Source organism: Homo sapiens, chromosome 3 (genome assembly GCF_000001405.40).
Source record: "Homo sapiens chromosome 3, GRCh38.p14 Primary Assembly".
Taxonomy (NCBI): Eukaryota; Metazoa; Chordata; class Mammalia; order Primates; family Hominidae; genus Homo; species Homo sapiens.
The window spans coordinates 47,817,028-47,840,213 of NC_000003.12; the positions used below are offsets into that span (position 1 = coordinate 47,817,028).

Below are 23,186 nucleotides of genomic sequence, written 5' to 3' on the forward strand. Positions count from 1 at the left end.
TTACTGATATCTTTCTCCTCTTTACCAATTGTATATGAGTCAATTTGCATTCCACAAATGAACATCTTTGTAGAACAGGTGGTTTCTCAAGCTTCAGGTGTGTGTGGCCATCTCTGCTCCCCTTCTACCCCATTTACTGTACTGAAACCAGAGGGGCAAAGAGAGCAAAGAGTGCATGCATTTCTCCCAGCCCCAAGACTAGTGACTCTCTGAATGTCACCATTTAGGTGGTTTAAAAGGACCTTAAGCCTTCCTTACCCATATATTTCCACCTTCCTTACCCATGTATTTCCACCTTCCCGTGGAAGACTCAGTGCCTTAATTTTCGTTCATGTACCTCAAGTTGTTGGGACTTCTTAGAAATGTACTTTCTGGTTACTAATAAGTAGCATTTAGCCCCCAAATGAATGGAAGTATTTGGAATGGCAGGTTGTTCTCTTTTAGAAAGAGGGAGAAGGCTGGTAAGTGTGCGTCTGGTTTTAGCTCTCAAGCTGGACCCACATAGTCCAGTCGTCCCTCTCTTACCCAGCTCTTGGAGGGAAAGAATGATTTGAGATTTGGTGGCTGAGGTAGCCATCTGGGGAACGCATAGCAAAGGCGTAGGTAGCTACCATAAGAAGCAGACACGTGGTGCTTTTGAGTTGATGTAGTACCAAGGCTTTCAGCTTTCTCCTGTTGTCCTGTCACATCCTCACAACTTAAGACTAAGAGAAGTATATAGGATGGGTGTTAACCTCATAGGGGGTAGCTAAGGGAACAGGAAGAGTTTGAGGGCTCTCTCTAAGGCTGTCACATATCACATCATATGAGACGCTTGCCTTCTTCCTGTGTGGCGTTGTTAGTGCTGTTCCTCAGAACCTGTGGCTGCTCCCAGCACTGTCCAGCAGCCCTGTTGCCCAGAGCTCCTCACGGATGCTCTGAGTGAGTCAGTTCAGGGGTCTGTGACTGTGAGGGGTGAGAACATGTCGCCCTGATGCCCTCTCTCTTTCCCCAGATCGGGCCCAGCACAGGCAGCGTCAGTGCAAACTTCCCCCACCCCGCCTTCCACCCATGTGTGTCAACCCTACCCCAGGAGGGACCATCTCTCGAGGTAAGGGAGGAGCCTTGCCTCCAGCAACAGCTTGGTCCAGGGTCTGTGGGGAGGTGGGTGGCAATGGGAGCCCTGGTGCCAGGGCCACAGCCCTCCAGAAAGTGAGTGAGGAAGGGTGGGATTAGCAGAGCTATTGGAGCCCTGAGGGAGAAATTACTTGGAAAAGTCTGGATTTTTTCATGATCCCTTGACTCATGGCCTGGACCCTGCAGTCTTCTTGGGCCTCCTTGTGTGGCCTGGACTAAAGCCTAGGCTCAGTTTGGGTGGTTCTCTCAGCACCCGCATGGAGAATCCGCAGGGCTTGGGGCCTCGAGGCTCCTAGAAGTCCCTGATCAGGTGGCTCAGAGAGCAGGGTGCTTGTAGCAGGGCTGGAACAGATAGCCCTGACTCAACCCTAGTGCTTTCCATCTTGGAGGCTTTGGGAATACACACAGATCACTTTCCTGTCTCCCATGTGGCACCTCAAAGCACTTTACTGACATTAAAATGTGCCTCTCAGTCCACTTGGCAAGGTAGGCTGTCCTTTTGATTGGGGAGAATGTTAGAGCACCAGGTAAGTGGCAGCTTACCTCAGGCCCTATCAGTACCCAGGGATGGCGCCAGGGATAGGACCCAGGGAAGCATCGCTGCACATGAGCGCCTCCTCTTCTCCCTCAGACTTATTAATATACCTTTTCCAGGCCTGCTAAGGCCAGTGCTCCTGGAAGCCTTTTTGTCCTAATAGCTGCTCTTTTCTGCCCCATAGGCTGCCTGTTCACACCCCTCTGCCTAGCAGAAGGAGCCCTGTTTTAGGTCATAGGGTCATTGTCTCATCTAGAGACAGCATGTCTACTCTAGGGTCTGTCTGTAAAGTGCTTTGAAGGTCAAGAGCTCAGGAGGAGTGTGGGGAACACAGAGCACCTCAGTTTCTGCAGCCCATGCTGCTGCTGCGTCCCAGGCAGTTTTCACACTCCTGCTGCTGCGGCCCTGACTACTGACAGCAGGATAGAAATGAGTACTTCTAGCCCCCTGACCATTTGACTTAGGTTTTAAAGAAATGCCACCCCCCTACCGTTACCAAAACAAGAGTTGATTGCCCTTTTTTTTTTCTTTCTTAAAATGCCCTGTAACTCGAAAAGGCTGAACGTTAACATTTCCAACATGGCAGGTGAGTGGCTCTGAGAGTGTCAGATGTGCTTTGGCTAAGCTTGAAGACGGTTAGTCGGGGTTAACCAGGCAGTTGGCTAGGCAGTGCCTTCTTGAGCACACGCGGAGGAGAACACTGATCGCAGGATGGGCAGTTGCTGCCTCTGGGGCAGCCCCACAAGTGCTGTGCTCTCTTCCCCAGAGGAGTGCAGACCCCTGAGCCTGGTGGTCTCTCCTCACAGCTGCGCCTCCAGGAGGCATCCGTGGGTGTGTGCATTTTGCCTTCTCTCTCTCAGCTAGAAGCAACAGCCCCTCTTGGCCTGCGGATAGCGATCAGGCCTCTCCCCTGTGCTTTCTAGCTCCCTAGAGGCTTCACTGGTGCTCCTGCCCTTAAGGAGATGTGTTGCAGCAACAGTCTCTCTGGTGTTTATATAAGGAAAACAGTGCACCGAAAATGGTGGCCATTTATATTGATCACAGTACTCAGCAGAATCAGATTTGGAACTGAAAAAAAATGATCACCTCCCTACCTCCTTGACCCCCCTTCCTCCACTGCCAATGTCTTCCCAAGGCTTCCTTCCAGGGTAAAGGGTGAGTACATCAAGAAACTCACCTCTGGCTGTCCCCTGTCACTCGGCCCCACCTACTCAGATTTGAGACACAGCACCATGGGATGACACTTCTGGCAGGATCTTGGGGGCCACAAAACTGATCTTTCCTGTCCATTGCCTCAAATAGATGTGTGCCCTCTTCTTGATGTGGTGGTTTACGTCAAGAGACTTGTGGCTGGCCGGGCATGGTGGCTTACGCCTGTAATCCCAGCATTTTGGGAGGCCAAGGTGGGTGGATCATCTGAGGCCAGGAGTTTGAGACCAGCCTGGCCAACATGGTGAAACCCCATCTCTACTAAACATACAAAAAATTAGCTGGGTGTGGTGGTGCATGCCTGTAATCCCAGCTACTTGGGAGGCTGAGGCAGGAGAATTGCTTGAACGCAGGAGGCGGGGGTTGCAGTGAGCTGAGATCGCACCACTACACTATAGCCTGGGCAACAGAGCGAGACTCCATCTCAAAAAAAAAAAAGAGACCTGCGGCTTATGTGGAAGGGGAAGCCATGAGGACGGATGACCTGGTAGGGCAGTCGGGTGCCCACCTGGCTCCTGTAGCTCCTCTTACCCGTCTCCTTGCCAGCCAAGTGGATCCTTTCTTGCCATTTTGACCACGTGTAATATATGTATATATGGTTGGGTAAGTTGCCAAAATATAGGCTGAGACTCCTGGTTTCTTTAGGTGTTGGTGGTCCCTTCCACTGTCCCTGCGGAAGTTCTCTGCTCTGCCCCAAAGCCTGAACTATCTTGGACTTCCTCTTGTTGCCTTTTTCTGGGGCCTCCAAAGTATAGGTTCCTAAAGCATTCTCCCGTGTATTCAGCAGATCCTTTACGCCTTAATTCTGTGCTGCTAGATGTAGTTGTTTAGCACATGTAGTACCAGATGTCATCCCCGATCCAGAAGTGGATAGAGAGATTGCTGAGCCAGTAAATGCTTTCTTTTTTCAGAACTTCCCTCCTTTTTCACAGGGAAAGGAATCAACTTTCTCTCCTCCAAGAATACGGAGAAGGCTTAATGTTGGTGTAAAGAAAGGGGTGCATGCGTAAGGCTCTCTCTTTTTTTTTTTTTGCCTTTGTTTTATTTCTTCTTTCTATTTTTATTTATTTATTTATTTATTTATGAGATGGAGTCTCACTCTGTCACCCAGGCTGGAATGTGGTGGCATGATGTCGGCTCACTGCAACCTCTGCCTCCTGGATTCATGTGATTCTTGTGCCTCAGCCTCCCTGGTAACCGGAACTACAGGCATGCACCAGCATGCCCAGCTGATTTTTTTGTATTTTCAGTAGAGACGGGGTTTCACCATTTTGCCCAGGCTGGTCTCCAACTCCTGGGCTCAAGTGATTTGCCTGCCTCAGCCTCCCAAAGTGCTGGGATTACAGGCATGAGCCACCATGCCTGGCCTTTTTCCTAACTTTCTTTTTTCTTTTTTTGATGGAGTTTCGCTCTTGTTGCCCAGGTGGGAGTGCAATGGTGCGATCTTGGCTCACCGCAACCTCCGCCTCCTGGGTTCAAGTGATTCTCTTGCCCCAGCCCCCCGAGTACCGGGGAATACAGGCATGTGCCACTATGCCTGGCTAATTTTTTGTATTTTTTTAGTAGAGATGGGGTTTCTCCATGTTGGTCAGGCTGGTCTCAAACTCCTGACCTCAGGCAATCTGCCCGCTTCGGCCTCCCAAAGTGTTGGGATTACAGGCATGAGCCACCGTGCCCAGCCCTTTTTTCTAACTTTCTTTAAGGTCCTTTACTGATTGATTGATTGATTGAGATGGAGTCTCACTCTGTTGTCCAGGCTGGAGTGCAATGGCGCAATGTCGGCTCACTGCAACCTCCCTCCTGGGTTTGAGCCATTCTCCTGCCTCGGCCTCTTGAGTAGCTGGGATTACAGGCACCTGCCACCATGCCCAGAGCTAATTTCTGTATTTTTAGTAGAGATGGAGTTTCACCACACTGGCCAGGCTGGCCTTGAACTCCTGACCTCAGGTGATCCACCCTCCTCGGCCTCCCAAAGTGCTGGGATGACAGGCATGAGCCACCGTACCTGGTCTTTAAGGTCCTTTAGAGGAGGAGTTGGTAATCTTTTTTTTGTAATCATCAGGTAATAAATATTTTACGCTGTGTGGGGCATATGCTTTCTGTTGCAGTTATTTGACTCTGCCATTATAGAATGAAAGCAGTCATAGATAATAGCAAATAACATAGTAAATGAGTGTGGCTCTGTTCCAATAAAACTTTCTAACAACAGGCAGGGGTCTGGATTTGGTCTGCAGGCTGTAGTTTTCCAACTCCTGCTCTAGACCAGTGAGGAGAAGAACACAGAAGCAGAAGAGTTCCAAGAGCTGCTGTAAAGAGTTGCCCTTATCTTACAAGAGTCATTGAGGTTTGTGGAGGTGAAATACTTGCTCAGGGTGACTCTTGCTGTTAGAACCCAGTTGAAATAAATGAATAGGAAAAGGGGACTGCATTAGTCCATTTTCATGCTGCTGATAAAGACATACCCAAGACTGGGTAATTTATAAAGAAAAAAAGGTTTAATGGATTCACAGTTCTATGTGGCTGGAGAGGCCTCACAACCATGGTGAAAGGCAAAAGGCACATCTTACATGGTGGCAGACAAGAGAGAAAGACAGAACCAAGTGAAAGGGGTTTTCCCAGCCGGGTGTGTTAACTCATGCCTGTAATCCCAGCACTTTGGGAGGCCGAGGTGGGTGGATCATGAGGTCAGGAGTTCAAGACCAGCCTGGCCAATATGGTGAAACCCTGTCTCTACTAAAAATACAAAAATTAGCTGGGCATGGTGGCACGTACCTGTAGTACCAGCTGCTTGGGAGACTGAGACAGGAGAATCGCTTGAACCCAGGAGGCAGAGGTTGCAGTGAGCCGAGATCGTGCCAGTGCATTCCAGCCTGGGTGACAGAACAAGACTCTGTCTCAAAAAAATAAACATAAAAAATAAGAAAGGCCAGGCGCAGTGGCCCACGCCCGTAATCCCAGCACTTTGAGAGGCCAAGGAAGGCGAATCATGAGGTCAGGAGATCGAGACCATCCTGGCTAACACAGTGAAACCCTGTCTCTACTAAAAATACAAAAAATTAGCCGGGTGTGGTGGCGGGCACCTGTAGTCCCAGCTACTTGGGGGGCTGAGCCAGGATAATGGTGTGAACCTGGGAGGTGGAGCTTGCAGTGAGCCGAGATTGCACCACTGCACTCCAGCCTGGGCAACAGAGCGAGACTCCATCTCAAAAAAAAAAAAAAAAAGAAAAGAAAGAAAAGAAAGGGGTTTCCCCTTATTAATCTATCAGATCTCTTGAGACTTACTCACTACTATGAGAACAATATGGGAGAAACCACCCCCATGATTCAATGACCTCCCAACCACGTCCCTCCCATGACACATGGGAATTATGGGGGCTACAATTCAAGATGAGATTTGGGTGGGGACACAACCAAACCGAGACAAAGACCCCCCTGGGAACAAACTAGTTGGTTGGCATCCCTGGTTGTTGTTTTTTTTTTTTTTTTTGTCTTTTTGAGACGGAGTCTCACTCTGTTGCCAGGCTGGAGTGCAGTGGCGCAATCTCGGCTCACTGCAACCTCCGCCTCCCGGGTTCAAGCAATTCTCCTGCCTCAGCCTCCCAAGTAGCTGGGACTACAGGCGCGTGCCACCATGCCCAGCTAATTTTTGTATTTTTAGTAGAGATGGGGTTTCACCATGTTGACCAGGATGGTCTTGATACCCTGACCTCATGATCCGCCTGCCTCAGCCTCCCAGAGTGCTGGGATTACAGGCATGAGCCACTGCGCCTGGCTGATTTTTTTTTAACATAAAAATCTAAACATCTGTTCAACACATGTGTTGTAAACTAGAAAAAATAGTATAATGAACCTGCAAGTACCTGTCACCCAGCTTCAACAATTAACAACTCATGGCCAGTGTTGCTTTGTGTATAGCTCTTCATTTTGGCTTCTTTAGAGGCAACTAAGAAATCATGGCATTTCAGCCTTATGCCAAATGGCTGTCAGAAAAGAGTGCTATCCTGAGGGCTTCCTCAAGTGCCACAAAGGGCTTGGGTCCTGCTGTCCAGGTGGGGCCTTTCTGTCTAGACTGTTGTCTCCTTCAGCTTTCAGATACCATTTTCTTTTCCTTTTTTTTTTTTTTTTTTTTTTTTGAGATGGAGCCTTGCTCTGTCACCCAGGCTGAAGTGCAGTGGCATGATCTTGGCTTACTGCAACCTCCGCCTCCTGGGTTCAAGCGATTCTCCTGCCTCAGCCTCCCGAGTAGCTGGGATTACAGGCGCGCGACACTATGCCCGGCTAATTTTTGTATTTTTAGTAGAGATGGGGTTTCACCATGTTGGCCAGGCTGGTCTCGAACTCCTGACCTCAGGTGATCTGCCTGCCTCGGCTTCCGAAAGTGCTGGGATTACAGGCGTGAGCCACTGCGCCTGGCGAGGAACAGCACTTTCACTGCTGGACTTTACGCTGGACCAGCTCAATTCTTGGCAGTTTCCAAAGCTGGGTGTTTTCACCTTCCCCTCCAGCCCTGGGGATTAAATCTGTTTCCTGAAGAGGTCTTCCTTGGCCTGGCTCCAGATTTTCTTTTTCGTTTTTTAAACTTTTAATAGAGTTGGGGTTTCACTATGCTGCCCAGACTGGTCTCAAAATCCTGGGCTCAGGGGATCCATCCGCCTCAACCTCCCAAAGTGTTGGGATTGCAGGCATGAGCCACGGCGCCTGGCCCTGGCTCCAGATCTTCACCAGGTTTACTTTGTAAGCCGTTAAATAAGATGGGGCTGCCAATTTGCCAGAGGCACGTGAGAGGTAGTTAGGAACAATTGGTAGGACCTAGAGGGAACTAACTTCGCTTCCTTAGATGACATTGAGCTAAGGCCTAGCATTATTTTCCCCCCAACAGCCTCATTCCATCTTCCTGCCTTCCATCCACACGACTGCTGGTTTAGATTTGCTGGAGAGTGAGCTCTGCAGGGTCCTAGCCCTGGGCAGCGCCGAGCCCGCCTACTGAAGGCCCAGGGCTGTGGTGAGCGAGGACGGGCTGCTGATGCCCTCGCCTAGGCTTGGGCTTCGGGTCCGCCCGGCCCGCAGGGGGCGCGCGGCGCTCGGGCCGGCCGCTCCCGTTCTCTTCGCCCGGTCCCTGCCGCGCACAGGCCTCGGGGTCGGCGGGAGCACGATGGCGGCCGCTAGGAGACTCATGGCGCTGGCCGCCGGCATCTCTCCGCGCCTGCAGCCGCTGGGTCCCCGCGCTGCTGGGCGACAGGGTCGCTCGCGCGGCTTCTCTTCAAGCTGCGCCCACCCCGACCACACCAAGGAAGCCGCCGAGGCCGAGTCAGGGATGGCCCCCGGCGGGCCTGGGGAAGGCGACGGAAGCTTGGTGAACGGTGAGGGCATCGGCGGGGGCGGGCGGTCCGCAGCGCCCTTGACTCCTGGGATGGCAGAGCTAGGGGCGCGGGCCGAAATCGGGCCTGGCGGCCGGGGGTCCTCTCTTCCATAGTGGCCAAGTTCGCCATCCGTCGGCGGGCAGCGGCCTTGCTGTTTGTAAAGCTTAGCGTGGCACAGGCCCGAATGGACCCTTAGAGTACCTGCTCCCGGCAAGAATAGGTGAGAGGTGCGAGACCTCGAGGGAGTGGGGAAAACGAGTAAAAGTCCAACTCCTGCCAGGATGAGTGGCCAAGGGCTAGAGCTTCTAGGGACAAGCATGCCCTCACCAGTGTGAGAAATAGCCCAAAGTAACTCCTGGGACATCAGGATCTCAAATAGAGACAGAATGACTGTTCTGGTGGATTCCAGCTTTGTGCCTCCCAAATAGTGCAGAGGATAAAACTGTTGAAAGCATCAAGGATGGGTAGAGAGCGCCAGCCTCCACCAACCTTATAGAGCTGAAGGTGGGGGCGGGGTGGTGGTCTCAGTGCAGCTCTATTGTTAAACCAGTGGGTGTAATGGGCTACTCGAAGTTGGGTCCCTCTGTGACGAAACCCCCCCCGCCCCGGCCAAGTCCACTTAGATATGGTTTCTTAACTGCTTAACTGCTTGACTCTTAGTTGCTTTACAAGTTACCGCTTAGAGGGAGACAGGATCAGGTGTCCTCCATCCTGGCCACTTGACACAGGAGTCTGTCCCAAGGAAACAGTCTCAAACCAGGCAGCAGAGTTACATCAGAACGCTTGGAAGCACTTTTTGAAAATATAGAGTCGCCTCCAACATCGCTCCCATTCTCAGGTCCCCTGTGGGGAGCTGGATGTCCATGCGGTGAAAAAGCTCCCCAGGTGATCAGTGTACACGCAGGTGCACATGTGCATATATACAGCTCCTTTTGGAGCTGCCAGAGGCTAGAGTGGAGAATGATATGGCCCCCCATGTTCCTAGCAGACCTCTTCATGACCTGGTTAAGCCTTGTGTCTGGTACAAGCTTACCCTAGGTAGATATCTCTTCCCTTTCTGCTCTGAGATTAATCCAAAAAACAAGAAAAAGAAGCGAGGTACCTCTCATGGTATCTGATGCATCAATTTTCCCCTTGATTCCAGAGAACTTGGGGGAGGAGTAATTCATGCCTGCTCAGATGTAGAGGTTTTCTTTCTTTTTTTTTTTTTTTTTTGAGATGGAGTTTCACTCTTGTTGCCCAGGCTGGATTGCAGTGGCGCGATCTTGCCTCACTACAACCTCCGCCTCCCGGGTTCAAGCGATTCTCCTGCTTCAGCCTCCCAAGTAGCTGGGACTACAGGCGCCTGCCACCAGGCCTGGCTAATTTTTTGTATTTTTAGTAGAGACGAGGTTTCACAAGGTTTCACTATGTTGGCCAGGTTGTCAAACTCCTGACCTTGTGATCCACCCGCCTTGGCCTCCCAAAGTGCTGGGATTACAGGCGTGAGCCACCACGCCCAGCCAGATGTAGAGGTCTTTAATCAGTCCCCACACATAGTTTGGTTCTGTGGGAGTCTTTTGCAGTGTGCTTAGATACGGTTGAGAGCTGGGGCCTGGTATTCAGCATCTGGATCTCATCACTTGAGATACATGGGGCCAGGTCTCTCGTGTGTGTGTCTTATTTTAGGAAGAGCCTTGCATTGTCTTGATCTCCAGTTTGTGTGTGTGGTGGATTTTTGTTTTTGTATTTTTTGCTTGCTTGTTTGTTTAGTGTCTTCTTTCAGACATCAGACTGGGGGGTTTATTGACCAACCAGGCTTTTGTAGGTGATGTATGAAATGAGGAGATTGGGCGGAGAAGAGGATGCTGGTAGGATCCCTTCTGTGGTGTGTGGGTCATTGGCCCTTCTTCAGGAGATGGTTATTCAAGTGGGTCTGGCCCCACTCTTCCCTGTAAACCCTGAAGTCATTCCTCTTTTCTTTTCCAAGATGCTCCTGGGTGGTTTGGGGTCATGAGCCAACATCCTCAGAATCCAGCCCAGGGTTGCCCTGATACACACCCCATGGAGTTTTTAAAAGAAAAAGAACAACTGTAATGCTTTTGTTCTTATTTTCTTAGCTTCTAGGGACCTATTAAAAGAGTTCCCACAGCCCAAAAATCTTCTCAACAGTGTGATTGGAAGAGCCCTCGGCATCTCACATGCAAAAGACAAACTAGTCTACGTGCACACAAATGGACCGAAGAAAAAGGTAACTCTGCTGGTGGCAAGGAAAAACATTGGTATGACTCAGAAAGGAGGCTGTTTGTCCTTTCTGTCTTAGGTTTCTTTGTCAAGGAGGCCATAGAATGGGTTTCCTGAATTAAAATGGTCAGCAGAGACTCAGAGCAAAGCTAGGTTTGAAGAAGAGCCAGAATACACGTGCCTGGTTTAGGGAAGAGGAACACAGGGCAAATGAGGTGCCATCTTATCTAAGACAGGCGCCTATACGGATCCTTGGTTTTTGCCCCCATCGACTAAGGACTGCAGAGGGTTAGAGTTAATGATAATTCTTGCCCTTACAGTCTTATAGATTCTGGAACCATAGAAGCATGCCAGCAAACCATTCTGGATGATTTTTTAACATTTATTTTATTTATTTTTGTAGAGACAGAGTCAGAGTCTCTCTGTCACCCAGGCTGGAGTGCAGTGGCACAATCATAACTCACAGTAACCTCAAACTCCTGGGATCAAGTGATCCTCCCGCCTCAGCCTCCAAAGTAGCTGGGACTACAGACAGGTGCCACCACACTCGTCTAATTTTTTTTATTTTTTGTAGAGACCGGTTCTTGCTATGTTGCTCAGGGTAGTCTCAAACCCCTTGGTTCAAGGGATCCTCCCTCCTCAGCCTCCCAAAATTGTGGGAGACACCACTGCTCTCAGTCTGGATGATTTTTAAAGATAAAGATGGGGCCTGGTTGTGGTGGTTCGTGCCTGTAATCCCAGCACTTTAGGAGGCGGAGTAGGGAGGATCCCTTGAGCCCAGGGGTTTGGGACCAGCCTGGGCAACATAGTGAGACCCCATTTCTACAAAAAATGAAAAAGTTACTCAGGCATTGTGGTGCAGGCCTGTAGTCCCAGCTACTAGGGAAGCTGAGATGAGGGGATTGCTTGAGCCCAGGAGGTTGAGGCTGCAGTAAGCTGTGATCGTGCCACTGCACTCCAGCCTGGGCAACAGCGTGAGATCCTGTCCCCCACAAAAAAAAAAAAAAAAAAAAAGATGAGGCTGGGCGCGGTGGCTCATGCCTGTAATCCCAGCACTTTGGGAGGCCGAGGTGGGCGGATCACAAGGTCAGGAGATCGAGACCATCCTGGCTAACATAGTGAAATCCCGTCTCTACTAAAAGTACAAAAAATTAGCTGGGCGTGGTGGTGGGCACCTGTAGCCCCAGCTACTTGGGAGGCTGAGGCAGGAGAATGGCGTGAGGCAACAGTGCAGCCTGGGCAACAGTGCAAGACTCTGTCTCAAAAAAAAAGATGAAGATGGATCCCGGCTTGGCCTCTGGCTAGAACATGGCACCTTGAAGGAGCAAAACAACTTGGGGTAGAACAGATTGTTTCACGGTGAGACAGTTAGAGCCTTATAAGGAGTTAATGATGGGATTGGGGTTCTGTCCTCTGTTCTCAACTCTGAACCTAGCACATTGCTGCTGTGAGGTCTGCTGCTGTGAGGTCCACCACTGTTTATTTTCCATGTAATTTGCAACAACTCTAGTCTGGAGTGGCAAGACTTCTGATTTCTCTCTTCTCTTCCCCAGAAAGTCACACTGCACATAAAATGGCCCAAGAGCGTGGAGGTAGAAGGCTATGGCAGCAAGAAGATCGATGCTGAGCGGCAGGCTGCAGCTGCAGCCTGCCAGCTGTTCAAGGTGACCCTTCCTCAGTGAAAGCCACTGAGACCTTCCTCCTGGAAACTCCTTGCCCTTTGTTTTTATTGGTAGAGGTTGGCCCAGTGTTCTACCACTCACCTGCCCTGAGCCCTTCCCACTTCCTGATTCCTTTCTTACTGTTCAGCCAATGAGATATATATATATATATATATATATATATTTTTTTTTTTTTTTTCCTGTGTTTTTGGTTTTTTTTTTTTTCCTTTGAGTCAGAGTTTCACTCTGTTGCCCAGGCTGGAGTGCAGTGATGCGATCTTGGCTCACTGCAACCTCCACTTTCTAGGTTCAAGTGATTCTCATGCCTTAGCCTCCCAAGTAGCTGGGATTGCAGGTGCCCACCACCACGCCTGGCTAATATTTGTATTTTTAGTAGAGAGGGGGTTTCACCCTGTTGGCCAGGCTGGTCTTGAACTCCTGACCTCAAGTGATCCACCTGCCTAGGCCTCTCAAAGTGTTGGGATTACAGGCGTGAGCTCGTAATCTATTTTCTGTGGTTTTAAAAACCGCCCAGCCTATCTTCTGTGGTTTTAAAAACTACAGAGAGGAACTACTTTATGAAAAACTTCCGACACACAGCGTGAGGGATATATTTCCATGTTGGTTTCTGTTTTTCTTTTCTCATCATTTCATGTAGGTTTTTCTCTATCGCAATGTAGTCCTGTCTTACTTTTTTTAAATTTTTTAATTTTTTTTAATTTTTGTTTGAGACGGAGTCTCGCTCTGTTGCCTGGGCTGGCGAGATCTCAGCTCACTGCAAGCTCTGCCTCCCGGGTTCATGCCATTCTCCTGCCTCAGCCTCCCAAGTAGCTGGGACTACAGGTGCCCGCCACCATGCCCGACTAATTTTTGTATTTTTAGTAGAGATGGGGTTTCAACTTGTTAGCCAGGATGGTCTCAATCTCCTGACTTTGTGATCTGCCTACCTCGGCCTCCCAAAGTGCTGGGATTACAGGCATGAGCCACCATGCCTGGCCAACTTTTTTTTTAATTTTTAAAAATATTTTCATTTTTAGGCCAGGCACGGTGGCTCACGCCTGTATTCCCAGCACTTTGGGAGGCCGAGGTGGGCAGATCACGAGGTCAGGAGCTTGAGACCAGCCTGACCAACATGGTGAAACCTTGTCTGTACTAAAAATACAAAAATTAGGTGGGTGTGGTGGCAGGCACCTGTAATCCCAGCTACTCGGGAGGCTGAGGCAGGAGAATCATTTGAACCTGGGAGGCGGAGGTTGCAGTGAGTCGAGATCACACCATTGCGCTCCAGCCTGGGCCTCAGGATGAGACTCCGTCACAAAAAAAAAATAATAATAAATTTTTTCATTTTTAGTAGAGACGAGGTCTCACTATGTTGCTCAGGCTGGTCTCTAACTCCTGGCCTCAAACAGTCCTCCTGCCTCCACCTCCCAAAGTGCTGGGTTTACAAACATGCGGCACCGTGCCTAGCTCTAATTTTTCTGAGACAGGGTCTTGCTCTGTTGCCCAGACTGGAGTGCAGTGGCATGATCATGGCTCACTGCAATCTCGACCTCCCAGGCTCAAGCCATCCTCCCACCTCAGCCTCCCCAGTAGCTGGGACTGCAGGCCTCGCCACCATGCCTGGCTAATGTTTTTGTATTTTTTGTAGAGATGGGGTTTTTCCATGTTGCCCAGGCTGGTCCCAAACTCCTGGTCTCAAGCAGTCCTCCCACCTCAGCCTCGCAAAGTGCTGGGATTACAGGTGTGAACCACCGCACCCGGCCAGGTTGCTAAGTCTTCATCTCTGCTCTGACAAGAAAAAGCCACAGGATGCGTATTCCCTCAGCTTCTCTTCTACTCATGGTCTCCAGGATTTTACTGTTCCTTTCTCTTTCCTGCACTTGAAGAGGCCCTGTTGCTATTCTGGGCCCCCATAGTACCCATCTCTTTTCTCTGTTCCTGTAATAGTCCATTGCTATAAAGGAATACATGAGACTGGGTAATGTATTAAAAAAAAAAAAAAGAGGTTTATTTGTCTCACAGTTCTGCAAACTGTACAAGAAGCCTGGTGCCAGCATCTGCTTGACTTCTGGTGAGGCCTCAGGAAGTCATGGTGGAAGGGAAGGGGAGCTGGTGTGTCCCACAGCAAGAGAGAAGCTAGAGTCATTGAAACAACTAGCTCCTGTGTGAACTAACAGGGCAAGAACTCAGTCATTACTGTGGGGAGGGCATCAAGCCATTCATGAGAGATCTGCCCCCATGACCCAAACACCTCCCACCAGGCCCACCTTTGTCATTGGGGATCACATTTTGGCATGAGATGTGGAGGGGGCAGATACCCAGACTGTAACAGTGCCCTTTTCTGTGTCTCTTCTGCATCTCCTCTCTTGCCCTTTTGTTTAATTTTCAGATTCTTCCTCTTCTGGTTCTTTTCTATAGGCCTCAAAAATATTCAGTGCTCTGATTTTTTCCCTTGGCTCTGATCCACTGCAAACAGCTCTCTGTGCTTGTATTTTCTCCACTCTGCTGACTTGGCCATCTTCGTTCATGCCCTCTAGTTACTTTTTTTTTTTTTTTTTAAATAGAGATGGGGTCTTACTATATTGCTGAGGCTGGTTTTGAACTCCTGGGTTCAAGCCATCCTCCCGCCTCAGCCTCCCAAAGTGCTAGGATGACAGGCATGAGCCACTGCACCCAGCCTATGTGTATTTTACTCAATTTAAAACAGAAAAAAAAGGCTTTAGTGGACCACTCTAAATACTTTTCCTTGTTGCACACTTTAGGTATTTAGTTTTCTCTCTGAAGGCCTTTTCCTTTTTCTTTTTTTTTTTTTTTTTTATTCCTCTCTCCCATCGTCTTGGCATTTTCCTTATTGTTGAATCTTGAACTATTCTTAATGAATGGTTATATCTGGAGGGGCTGATAAAATGATCCATTTTATATTAACTTGAGAGCCAGTTAATATCTTTTTTTTTTTTTTAATAGAGACAGGGTCTTACTCTGTTGCCCAGGCTGGTCTCTAATTCCTGGGCTGAAGCGATCCTTCTGCCTCGGCCTCCCAAAGTGCTGGGATTACAGATGTGCGCTGACTGCCTGGCCTCTGTGTACCTCTGTATCCCCACAGTGCTCTGTAGCCTTGGCACTGCCATGCATTTCGTCCTCAGCCACTGGAAGACCTCTGCTTCTCTTTTCTCTCTAGGTCACTCTCAAGTACCTTTTCCTCTTCCACCCTCTAAAACATCTTGATTGATTGATTGATTGAGATGGGGTCTAGCTATGTTGTCTAGGCAGGTCTTGAACTCCAGAGCTCCTGCCTCAGCTTCCAGGTAGCTGGGATTACAGGCACACACAACCATGCCCAGCTAATTTTCTTTCCTCCCTGGGGAATCTTGTCTCTTACAGGTTCAACCATTCTCTCTGTGTTTAATGTCTCGAAAATATCCATCTCCCATAGGGTAGGTCTACCTCAGTGATTCTCAACCATGGATGATTTTGTTCCTCACGGAACATCTAATTCTTTTTTTTTTTTTTTCTTTTTCTTTTTGAGACAGGATCTCACTCTGTTGTCCAGGCTGGAGTACAGTGGCGCAGTCTCAGCTCACTGCAACCTCTGGCTCCCGGGCTCAAGTGATCCTCCCACCTCAGCCTCCCAAGTAGCTGGGACTACAGGTGTGTGCCACCATGCTCAGCTAATGTTTTTATATTTTTGGTAGAGACAGGGTTTTGCCATGTTGGCCAGGCTGGTCTCAAACTCCTAAGCTCAAGCAGTCTGCCTGCCTTGGCCTCCCAAAGTGCTGGGATTACAGGTGTGATCCACTGTGCCTGGCCTCTTTTTTTTTTTTTTTTTTTTTTCCTGTAGAGATGGTGTCCCGCTATGTTGTCTAGGCTGGTCTTGAACTTCTGGGCTCCAGTTATCCTCCCACCTTAGCCTCCCAAAGTGCTGGGATTATAGGTGTGAGTCACGGCTCCTGGCATAATTATTTTTTTATTGTCTTTATTTAATGTGTACAGTATGGTGTTTCATATTCACATACACTTTCATAAACACAGAATGAAATGAATACTATATTCAAGCAAATTAACATATCCATCACCTCAAATAGTTATCTTTTTTTGTGGTAAGAGCACCTAAGGCTGGGTATGGTGGCTCATGCCTGTAATTCCAGCAATTTGAGAGGCTGAAGTAGGCGGATCACTTGAGTCCACGAGTTTGAGACAAGCCTGGGCAACAGGGCGAAAAGCCTTTTTTGTATTTTATAAAAAATACAAAAATTAGCAGGGCATGGTGGTGTTTGCCTGTAGTCCCAGCTACTTGGGAGGCTGAGGTGGGAGGATTGCTTGAACCTGGGAGGCAGAGGTTGCAGTGAGCCGAGATCATACCACTGACCTCCAGCCTGGGCAGCAAAGCAGGACTCTCTCTCTCTCTCAAAAAAAAAAAAAAAAAAAAAGAAAGAGCACCTAAAATGTACTCTTGGGCGCTGGCTCATGCCTGTAATCTCAGCACTTTGGGAGTCTGAGGCTGGCGGATCACGAGGTCAGGAGTTCGAGACCAGCTTGGCCAACATGGTGAAACCCTGTCGCTACTAGAAATACAAAAATTAGCCGGGCATAGTGGTGCATGCCTGTAGTCCCAGCTACTCGGGAGGCTGAGGCAGGAGAATCGGTTGAACCCAGGATGCAGAGGTTGCAGTGAGCTGAGATCACGCCACTGCACTTCAGCCTGAGCAACAAGAGCAAAACTCCATCTCCAAAAAAGAAAAAAAATGTATTCTCTTAGCAAATTTCCAGTTTATAATACAGTATTATTAATTATAGTCCTTATGGTGTACATTAGATCTTTAGACTTACTCTTCTTATATATATGTAACTTTACATCCTTGGACCTACATCTCCCCATTTCTCTTTTCTTCCTGCCCCTGGTAACTACCAGGTCTACTCTGTTTCTGTGTATTCAGCTTATTTTAGATTCCACATATGAGATCATGTGGTATTTTCATTTTGTTTTGTTTTTGAGACCAAGTCTCGGCCTGTTGCCCAGGCTAGAGTGCAGTGGCGTGATCTTGGCTCACTGCAACCTCCGCCTCCTAGGTCCAAGCAATTCTCATGTCTCAGCCTCCCGAGTAGCTGGGACTACGGGCATGTGCCACCACACCCAGCTAATTTTTGTATTTTTTGTAGAGATGGGGTTTCGCCATGGTGGCCAGGCTGGTCTTGAACTCCTGACCTGAAGTGATCTGCCCGCCTTGGCCTCTTGAAGTGCTGGGATTACAGGTGTGAGCCACTACTCCTGGCCCATGTGGTATTTTCTTTGTGTCTGGTTTACTTAGCATAATGTCTTCCAGGTTTATCCATGTTTTTACTTTTATTTATTTATTTTGAGACAGGGTCTTGCTCTGTGGCCTAGGCTGGAATGCAGTGGTGCGATCATGGCTCACTGCAGACTCCACCTCCAGGGCTCAAGAGATCCTCCCACCTCAACCTCTGGAGTAACTGAGACTGCAGGTGTGCGCCACCACACCTGGCTAATTTTGTAGAGATGGGGTCTTCCAGTGTTGCCCAGACTGGTCTTGAACTCCTGAGCTCAAGCAATCCACCTGTCTCAGCCTCCCAAAGTGCTGGGATTACAGGCATGAGCCACTGCACCTGGCCAGATCTCCTCTTCTTTAAAGGCTGAATAATATCCTGTTGTGTATATGTACCATTCATCCTTTGACAGATGCTTAGGTTGTTTCCGTATCTTGACTGTTGTGAATAATGCTGCAGTTAACATGGGAGTGCAGACATCCCTATGAGCTGATGATTTCATTCCCTTTGGGTATATACCCAGAGCAGATATTGCTGGACCATATGGTAGTTTTATTTTTAATTTTTTGAGGAACTTCTTTATTTTTTATTTTATTTTTTATTTTTTGAGATGGAGTCTTGCTCTGTTGCCCAGGCTAGAGTGCAGCAGCGCGATCTCGGCTTACTGCAGCCTCTGCCTCCTGGGTTCAAGCAATTCTCCTGCCTCAGCCTCCCGAGTGCCTGGGATTACAGGCATGTGCCATCATGCCTGGCTAATTTTTTTTTTTTTTTTTTTTGACATGGAGGTTCGCTCTTATTGCCCAGGCTGGAGTGCAGTGGCGCAATCTCAACTCACTGCAACCTCCGTCTCCTGGGTTCAAGCAGTTCTGTCTCAGCCTCCCGAGTAGCTGGGATTACAGGCATGTGCCACCACGCCTGGAATTTTGTATTTTTACTAGAGATGGGGTTTCTCCATGTTGGTCAGGCTGGTCTCGAACTCCTGACCTCAGGTGATCTGCCTGCCTCGGCTTCCCATAGTGCTGGGATTACAGGTGTGAGCCACTGTGCCCGGCCAATTTTTTTGTACTTTTAGTACAGATGGGGTTTCACCATGTTGGCTAGGCTGGTCTCGAACTCCTGACCTCAGGTGGTCCACCCGCCTCAGCCTCCCAAAGTTCTGGGATTACAGGTGTAAGCCACTGCGCCCGGCCAATTTTTTTGTACTTTTAGTAGAGATGGGGTTTCACCATGTTGGCTAGGCTGGTCTCAAACTCCTGACCTCAGGTGGTCCACCCGCCTCAGCCTCCCAAAGTTCTGGGATTATAGGCATGAGCCACTGTGCCTGGCTCTCTTTTGGGTTTTCTATATATAAGATATGTCATTTGTAAGCAGGGATAATTTTACTTCTTTCTTTCCAGTTTGGATGCCTTTTTTTCTTGTCTGCCTGCACTTTCTAGTACTTTTAGTACTATGTTGAAAAAAAGTGCTGAGAGTGGCCAGGGGCCATTTGGCAATGTCTGTAGGGATTTTCGTTGGACACAGGTGGAGGAGTGCTACTGGCAGCTGTAAGATCAAGGCCAGGAATGCTTCTTCCCAGCTTACAGTACACAGGACAGCCCCCTATAGCAAAGAATTACCCTGCTCAAAATAGCAATTATGCTGAAGCTGAGAAATCCTTCTCTGCCTGGCTGACTGGCTGGCTGGATGTTTGAAGGCACTTTAAACTCAGACTTTTGTTTTTTGAGATGGAGTCTTTCTCTTTCGCCCAGGCTAGAGTGCAATGGTGCAATGGCGTGATCTTGGCTCACTGTAACCTCTGTCTGCCTCCTGGATTTAAGTGATTCTCCTGCCTCAGCCTCCCTCATAGCTGGGATTACAGGTGCCTGCCACCACGCCTGGCCAATTTTTGTATTTCTAGTAGAGATGAGGTTCCACCATGTTGGCCAGGCTGGTCTCAAAGTCTCCTGACCTTAGGTGATCCGCCTGCCTCTGCCTCCGCCTCCCAAAGTGTTGGGATTACAGACATGAGCTACTGTGCCCGGCCATCCCAGCCTGTCTGAAGCAGGTCATTATCACATTTTTCTCCATCTCTTTTTCTCTTCCCCATCTATGTGTATAGTTTTGTTTTGTTTTGTTTTGTTTTGAGATGGTGTCTTGCTCTGTTGCCCAGGCTAGAGTGCAGTGGCGCAATCTCGGCTCACTGCAACGTTCACGTCCTGGGTTTAAGCGATTCTCCTGCCTCAGCCTCCCGAGTAGCTGGGACTACAGGTGCGCACCACCACGCCCAGCTAAGTTTTGTATTTTTAGTAGAGACAGGGTTTCACCATATTGGCCAGACTGGTCTTGAACTCCTGACCTCGCGATCTGCCTGCCTCCCAAAGTGCTGGGATTACAGGTGTGAGCCACCGTGCCCAGCCTAGTTGTTTTTGTTTTTTTGATCATAGCGATCCTAATGGGTGTGAGATGAGATCTTGTTGTGGTTATAGGAGTTGTTTTTTATTCTAGAACTCAGCCTTTTATTCTCTAATAGCTGTACTCCCAGTTCTTCAGCGTTTCCCTTTCCCCCCAAATCAGATGTCTTTTTCTGCATTGCCCATAGGCTTGGTGAGACGTGCTGGCAGCACAAAGGGGACTGAGTCAGCAGCCACAGCCAAGAAGAAGGTGTCCACGGGAGGACATAAATGCACCCCAGCCTCCTAAATAGAAGAGGCTTATTCTTGAAGAATGGTCCTTGCCAGGGCCGAGGGCTGGAGCAAGGCACTCCAGACTCAGGCCAATGTGGCTTAGAGCCCGGGTGAATATGCGTGGCTATGGGGAATGAGAATGAATGTGGGTCTGCCTGCTGGGCCATGCGGTAGACGGGCAGGGAGGAGCTAGAACTCCAGGGCCTTCACTGTCACAGGGGCAGAATGATTTGATCCTGTGGCTGCCAGGGCTTCTGACTAGTGGTAATTGATAGAATGACACAGCCAAGTTTGCTTTTAGGGAAAATCACTGACAGCAGTAGTTTTTGGCAAGACCAGAGACAGGGACACTGGATGGAAGAGAATACCAGCGGCAGCTGTGGAGGAGGTTTCTTCAACGGTATTAGAGGGCCAGGCATGAGGGCCTGTAATCCTAGCACTTTGGGAGGCTGAGGCGGGTGGATCACAAGGTCAGGAGCTCGAGAGCAGCCTGGCCGACATGGTGAAACCCCATCTCTACTAAAAATACAAAAATTAGCCGGGCCTGGTGGCGTACGCCTGTAATCCCAGCTACACAGGAAGCTGAGGCAGGAGAATCGCTTGAACCTGGCAGGCAGAGGTTGCAGTGAGCCGAGATGATGCCATTGCACTCCAGCCTGGGTGACAGAGTGAGACTCTGTCTCTAAAAAGGAACAACAACAAAAAGGTATTAGAGAAGTTGCACGGACAGCTCCTGGACAGTTGAGGAGGTGGGAGGGAGAATGGGTTGGAGGGGCAGCATGCGCCAGCAGGGGGAGCTGTGGACGAGCAATGGGTTGGCGCCTAGGTTATGGCAAGAACAGTGGCTGGTGGATGTTGGTACAGCTCAGGACCGGTGTGGGAGCATGGCCAGGACCAGCAGTGAGCCTGTGGGGACGAGATCCTCTGGTCTAGTGAAAGAGTGGTTGCAAAGGCAGGGGGAGAACGGTGCTGTCCTGCTGGGGAAGCCAGGCCAAGGAGGGATGCTTGTATTGCTGCTCTGTGGAACCAGAGGCATTCTTGTCAGAAGGGAGGCGGTGACGCAAAAGTGTGGCAGCTGAGCCTTGGATCGGGCCCTGCCCCAAGGGTTCGCGAATGTGTGTGTGGCATACCTTGGCCCCATCGTCTGTCCCATAATCCTGCGGTTTTCACGCGTCTATTCTTAATAGACAGACTTTAGAATTGGTTTGTCAAATGCTTAATAAGAAGCCTCTGCAGACTTTGATTGGAATTGTGTTCAATTTATGGATTAATTTAAGAGGTTTTTGTCTCCTCACACATAAAAGTTCTATCATCCAGGAACATATATCTCCATGGATTTACATCCTTTTGCCAAGTTGTGTGCTTAGTCCATACCTTTCTGACCCACCTTAGTTCACCTTAGGTAGGTGATGGTTTTTGTTACTGTTGTGAATAGAATTTTTAAAATTAAATTTAATTATCTCAAAAACCCAAGGAGAAAGTTTTATGAAGGCAGGCCATGGTCACTCTCCAGCTTGTCATGAGTTGGGTGGGATTGAAAGCTCACTGTAGAGAGGTTCCTGGCCCGTGGCCCGTGCTGTCTGCTGTCACATGGCCCTGATGTTCACCTGACAGGCCTTGTTCTTGCTGTCCCGCAGACTTTGTCGCCTTTACCACTCCCAGTGGCAGCTCCTGCAACCTGTGCTTTCTTTGCAGTTGCTCCTGTTCTCCCAGCTGCTCACTCATCTCACCCACGTCTTTGTTCCTTAGACCCTGGCCATCTGCATTTCTCTTCTGCTGCTTAGATTCCTTGTTTGTTTGTTTGTTTGTTTTTGGAGATAGGGTCTTGCTCTGTCACCCAGGCTGGAGTTCAGTGGTGTGATCATGGCTCACTGCAGCCTCGATCTGTAGGCCTCAAGTGATCCTCTTGCCTCAGCCTCCCAAGTCTCTGGGACTACAGGCACATACCACCACCCCTGGCTAACTGCCTCTTATATTCCGAACTGCTTGAGGGCAAGGACCAGGTCTTGTCTCTCCTGATGATGCTTAGGTGGCCAACATGTTGCTGCGTACATGCTAGAGACTTAGGCAATGTTTAATTTATATTTTCTGTAGAAAAGCATGAAGCTATAACACATTTAAAATCATATTTTTGTATAAATAGCTTTAACATTTCAAGTTATTTCTCTAGAATGTATTCCTAACATAGGATTCTTATATTCTCTTTTTTTTTTTTTTTTTTTTGAGACGGAGTTTCGCCGGAGGTTTGCTCTTGTTACCCAGGCTGGAGTGCAATGGTGCGATCTCAGCTCACCGCAACCTCTGCCTCCCAGGTTCAAGTGATTCTCCTGCCTCAGCCTCCCAAGTAGCTGGAATTACAGGCATGCACCACCATGCCCAGCTGATTTTGTGTTTTTAGTAGAGACGGGGTTTCTCCATATTGGTCAGGCTGGTCTCAAACTCCTGACCTCAGGTGATCCGCCCACCTCGGCCTCCCAAAGTGCTGGGATTACATGCGTGAGCCACCGTGCCCAGCCTTCAGGATTCTTATATTCTTATATATAACTTCTTATAACAGAAGTTGTATCCGTTTCATGGTGTGGGCTACATAGGTTTTTTTGTTTGTTTGTTTGTTTGTTTTTTTGTGGAGTCTCTATTGCCCAGGCTGGAGTGCAGCAGCCCCATCTCAGCTCACTGCAACCACTGCCTCCCAGGTTCAAGCGATTCTCCTGTCTCAGCCCCCTGAGTAGCTGAGATTACAGGTGCCCACCACCACGCCCGGCTAATTTTTGTATTTTTAGGAGGATGGGGTTTCGCCATGTTGGCCAGGCTGGTCTCCAACTCCTGACCTCGAGTAGTCCACCTGCCTGGGCCTCCCAGAGTTCTGGGATTACAGGTGTGAGCCACTGTGCCCGTCTGGCTACGTATTTTTTTTTCTTTTCTTTTCTTTTTTTTTTTGAGACGGAATCTTGCTCTGTCGCCCAGGTTGGAGTGCAGTGCCATGATCTTGGCTCACTGCAAGCTCCGCCTCCCAGGTTCACGCCATTCTCCTGCCTCAGCCTCCCAAGTAGCTGGGACTACAGGCACTCGCCACCACGCCTGGCTAATTTTTTTGTATTTTTAGTAGAGACAGGGTTTCACCGTGTTGGCCAGGATG

General features: G+C 49.1%; 1 protein-coding gene across 9 annotated transcripts in view, besides 4 other annotated features; it reads left to right on the forward strand.

Moving 5' to 3' along the window:
• The window catches only part of DHX30 (DExH-box helicase 30), a 47,056-nt gene that overhangs the window by 13,890 nt on the left and 9,980 nt on the right, over positions 1-23,186 (forward strand). For 3 of the 9 annotated variants that reach the window (NM_001330990.2, NM_138615.3, XM_011533494.4), the window contains 3 exons: positions 995-1,090; positions 10,320-10,450; positions 11,997-12,107. In NM_001330990.2, coding sequence (NP_001317919.1) covers positions 1,051-1,090; positions 10,320-10,450; positions 11,997-12,107 — 282 coding nt within the window. In that variant the 5' untranslated portion in view covers positions 995-1,050. Of the gene's footprint in view, positions 1-994; positions 1,091-2,208; positions 2,238-5,069; positions 5,205-7,739; positions 8,221-10,319; positions 10,451-11,996; positions 12,108-23,186 lie in introns of those variants that run through there. The other 6 variants (XM_047447728.1, XM_047447727.1, NM_014966.4 and 3 more) reach the window with 6 other exon arrangements.
• Positions 555-1,055: an enhancer, noted in NCBI's record as "H3K4me1 hESC enhancer chr3:47859072-47859572 (GRCh37/hg19 assembly coordinates)". NCBI's record gives its function as "activates a minimal SCP1, AML or CMV promoter by ChIP-STARR-seq in primed H9 embryonic stem cells {active_cell/tissue: H9 hESC(primed)}" and the evidence as "EXISTENCE:reporter gene assay evidence [ECO:0000049][PMID:30033119]".
• Positions 5,078-5,278: a silencer, noted in NCBI's record as "peak4635 fragment used in MPRA reporter construct". NCBI's record gives its function as "represses an SCP1 promoter by STARR-seq MPRAs in K562 erythroleukemia cells {active_cell/tissue: K562}" and the evidence as "EXISTENCE:reporter gene assay evidence [ECO:0000049][PMID:32103011]".
• Positions 7,779-8,068: a silencer, noted in NCBI's record as "silent region_14318". NCBI's record gives its function as "represses an Ori minimal core promoter by ATAC-STARR-seq in GM12878 lymphoblastoid cells {active_cell/tissue: GM12878}" and the evidence as "EXISTENCE:reporter gene assay evidence [ECO:0000049][PMID:35858748]".
• Positions 20,572-21,390: an enhancer, noted in NCBI's record as "H3K27ac-H3K4me1 hESC enhancer chr3:47879089-47879907 (GRCh37/hg19 assembly coordinates)". NCBI's record gives its function as "activates a minimal SCP1, AML or CMV promoter by ChIP-STARR-seq in naive H9 embryonic stem cells {active_cell/tissue: H9 hESC(naive)}" and the evidence as "EXISTENCE:reporter gene assay evidence [ECO:0000049][PMID:30033119]".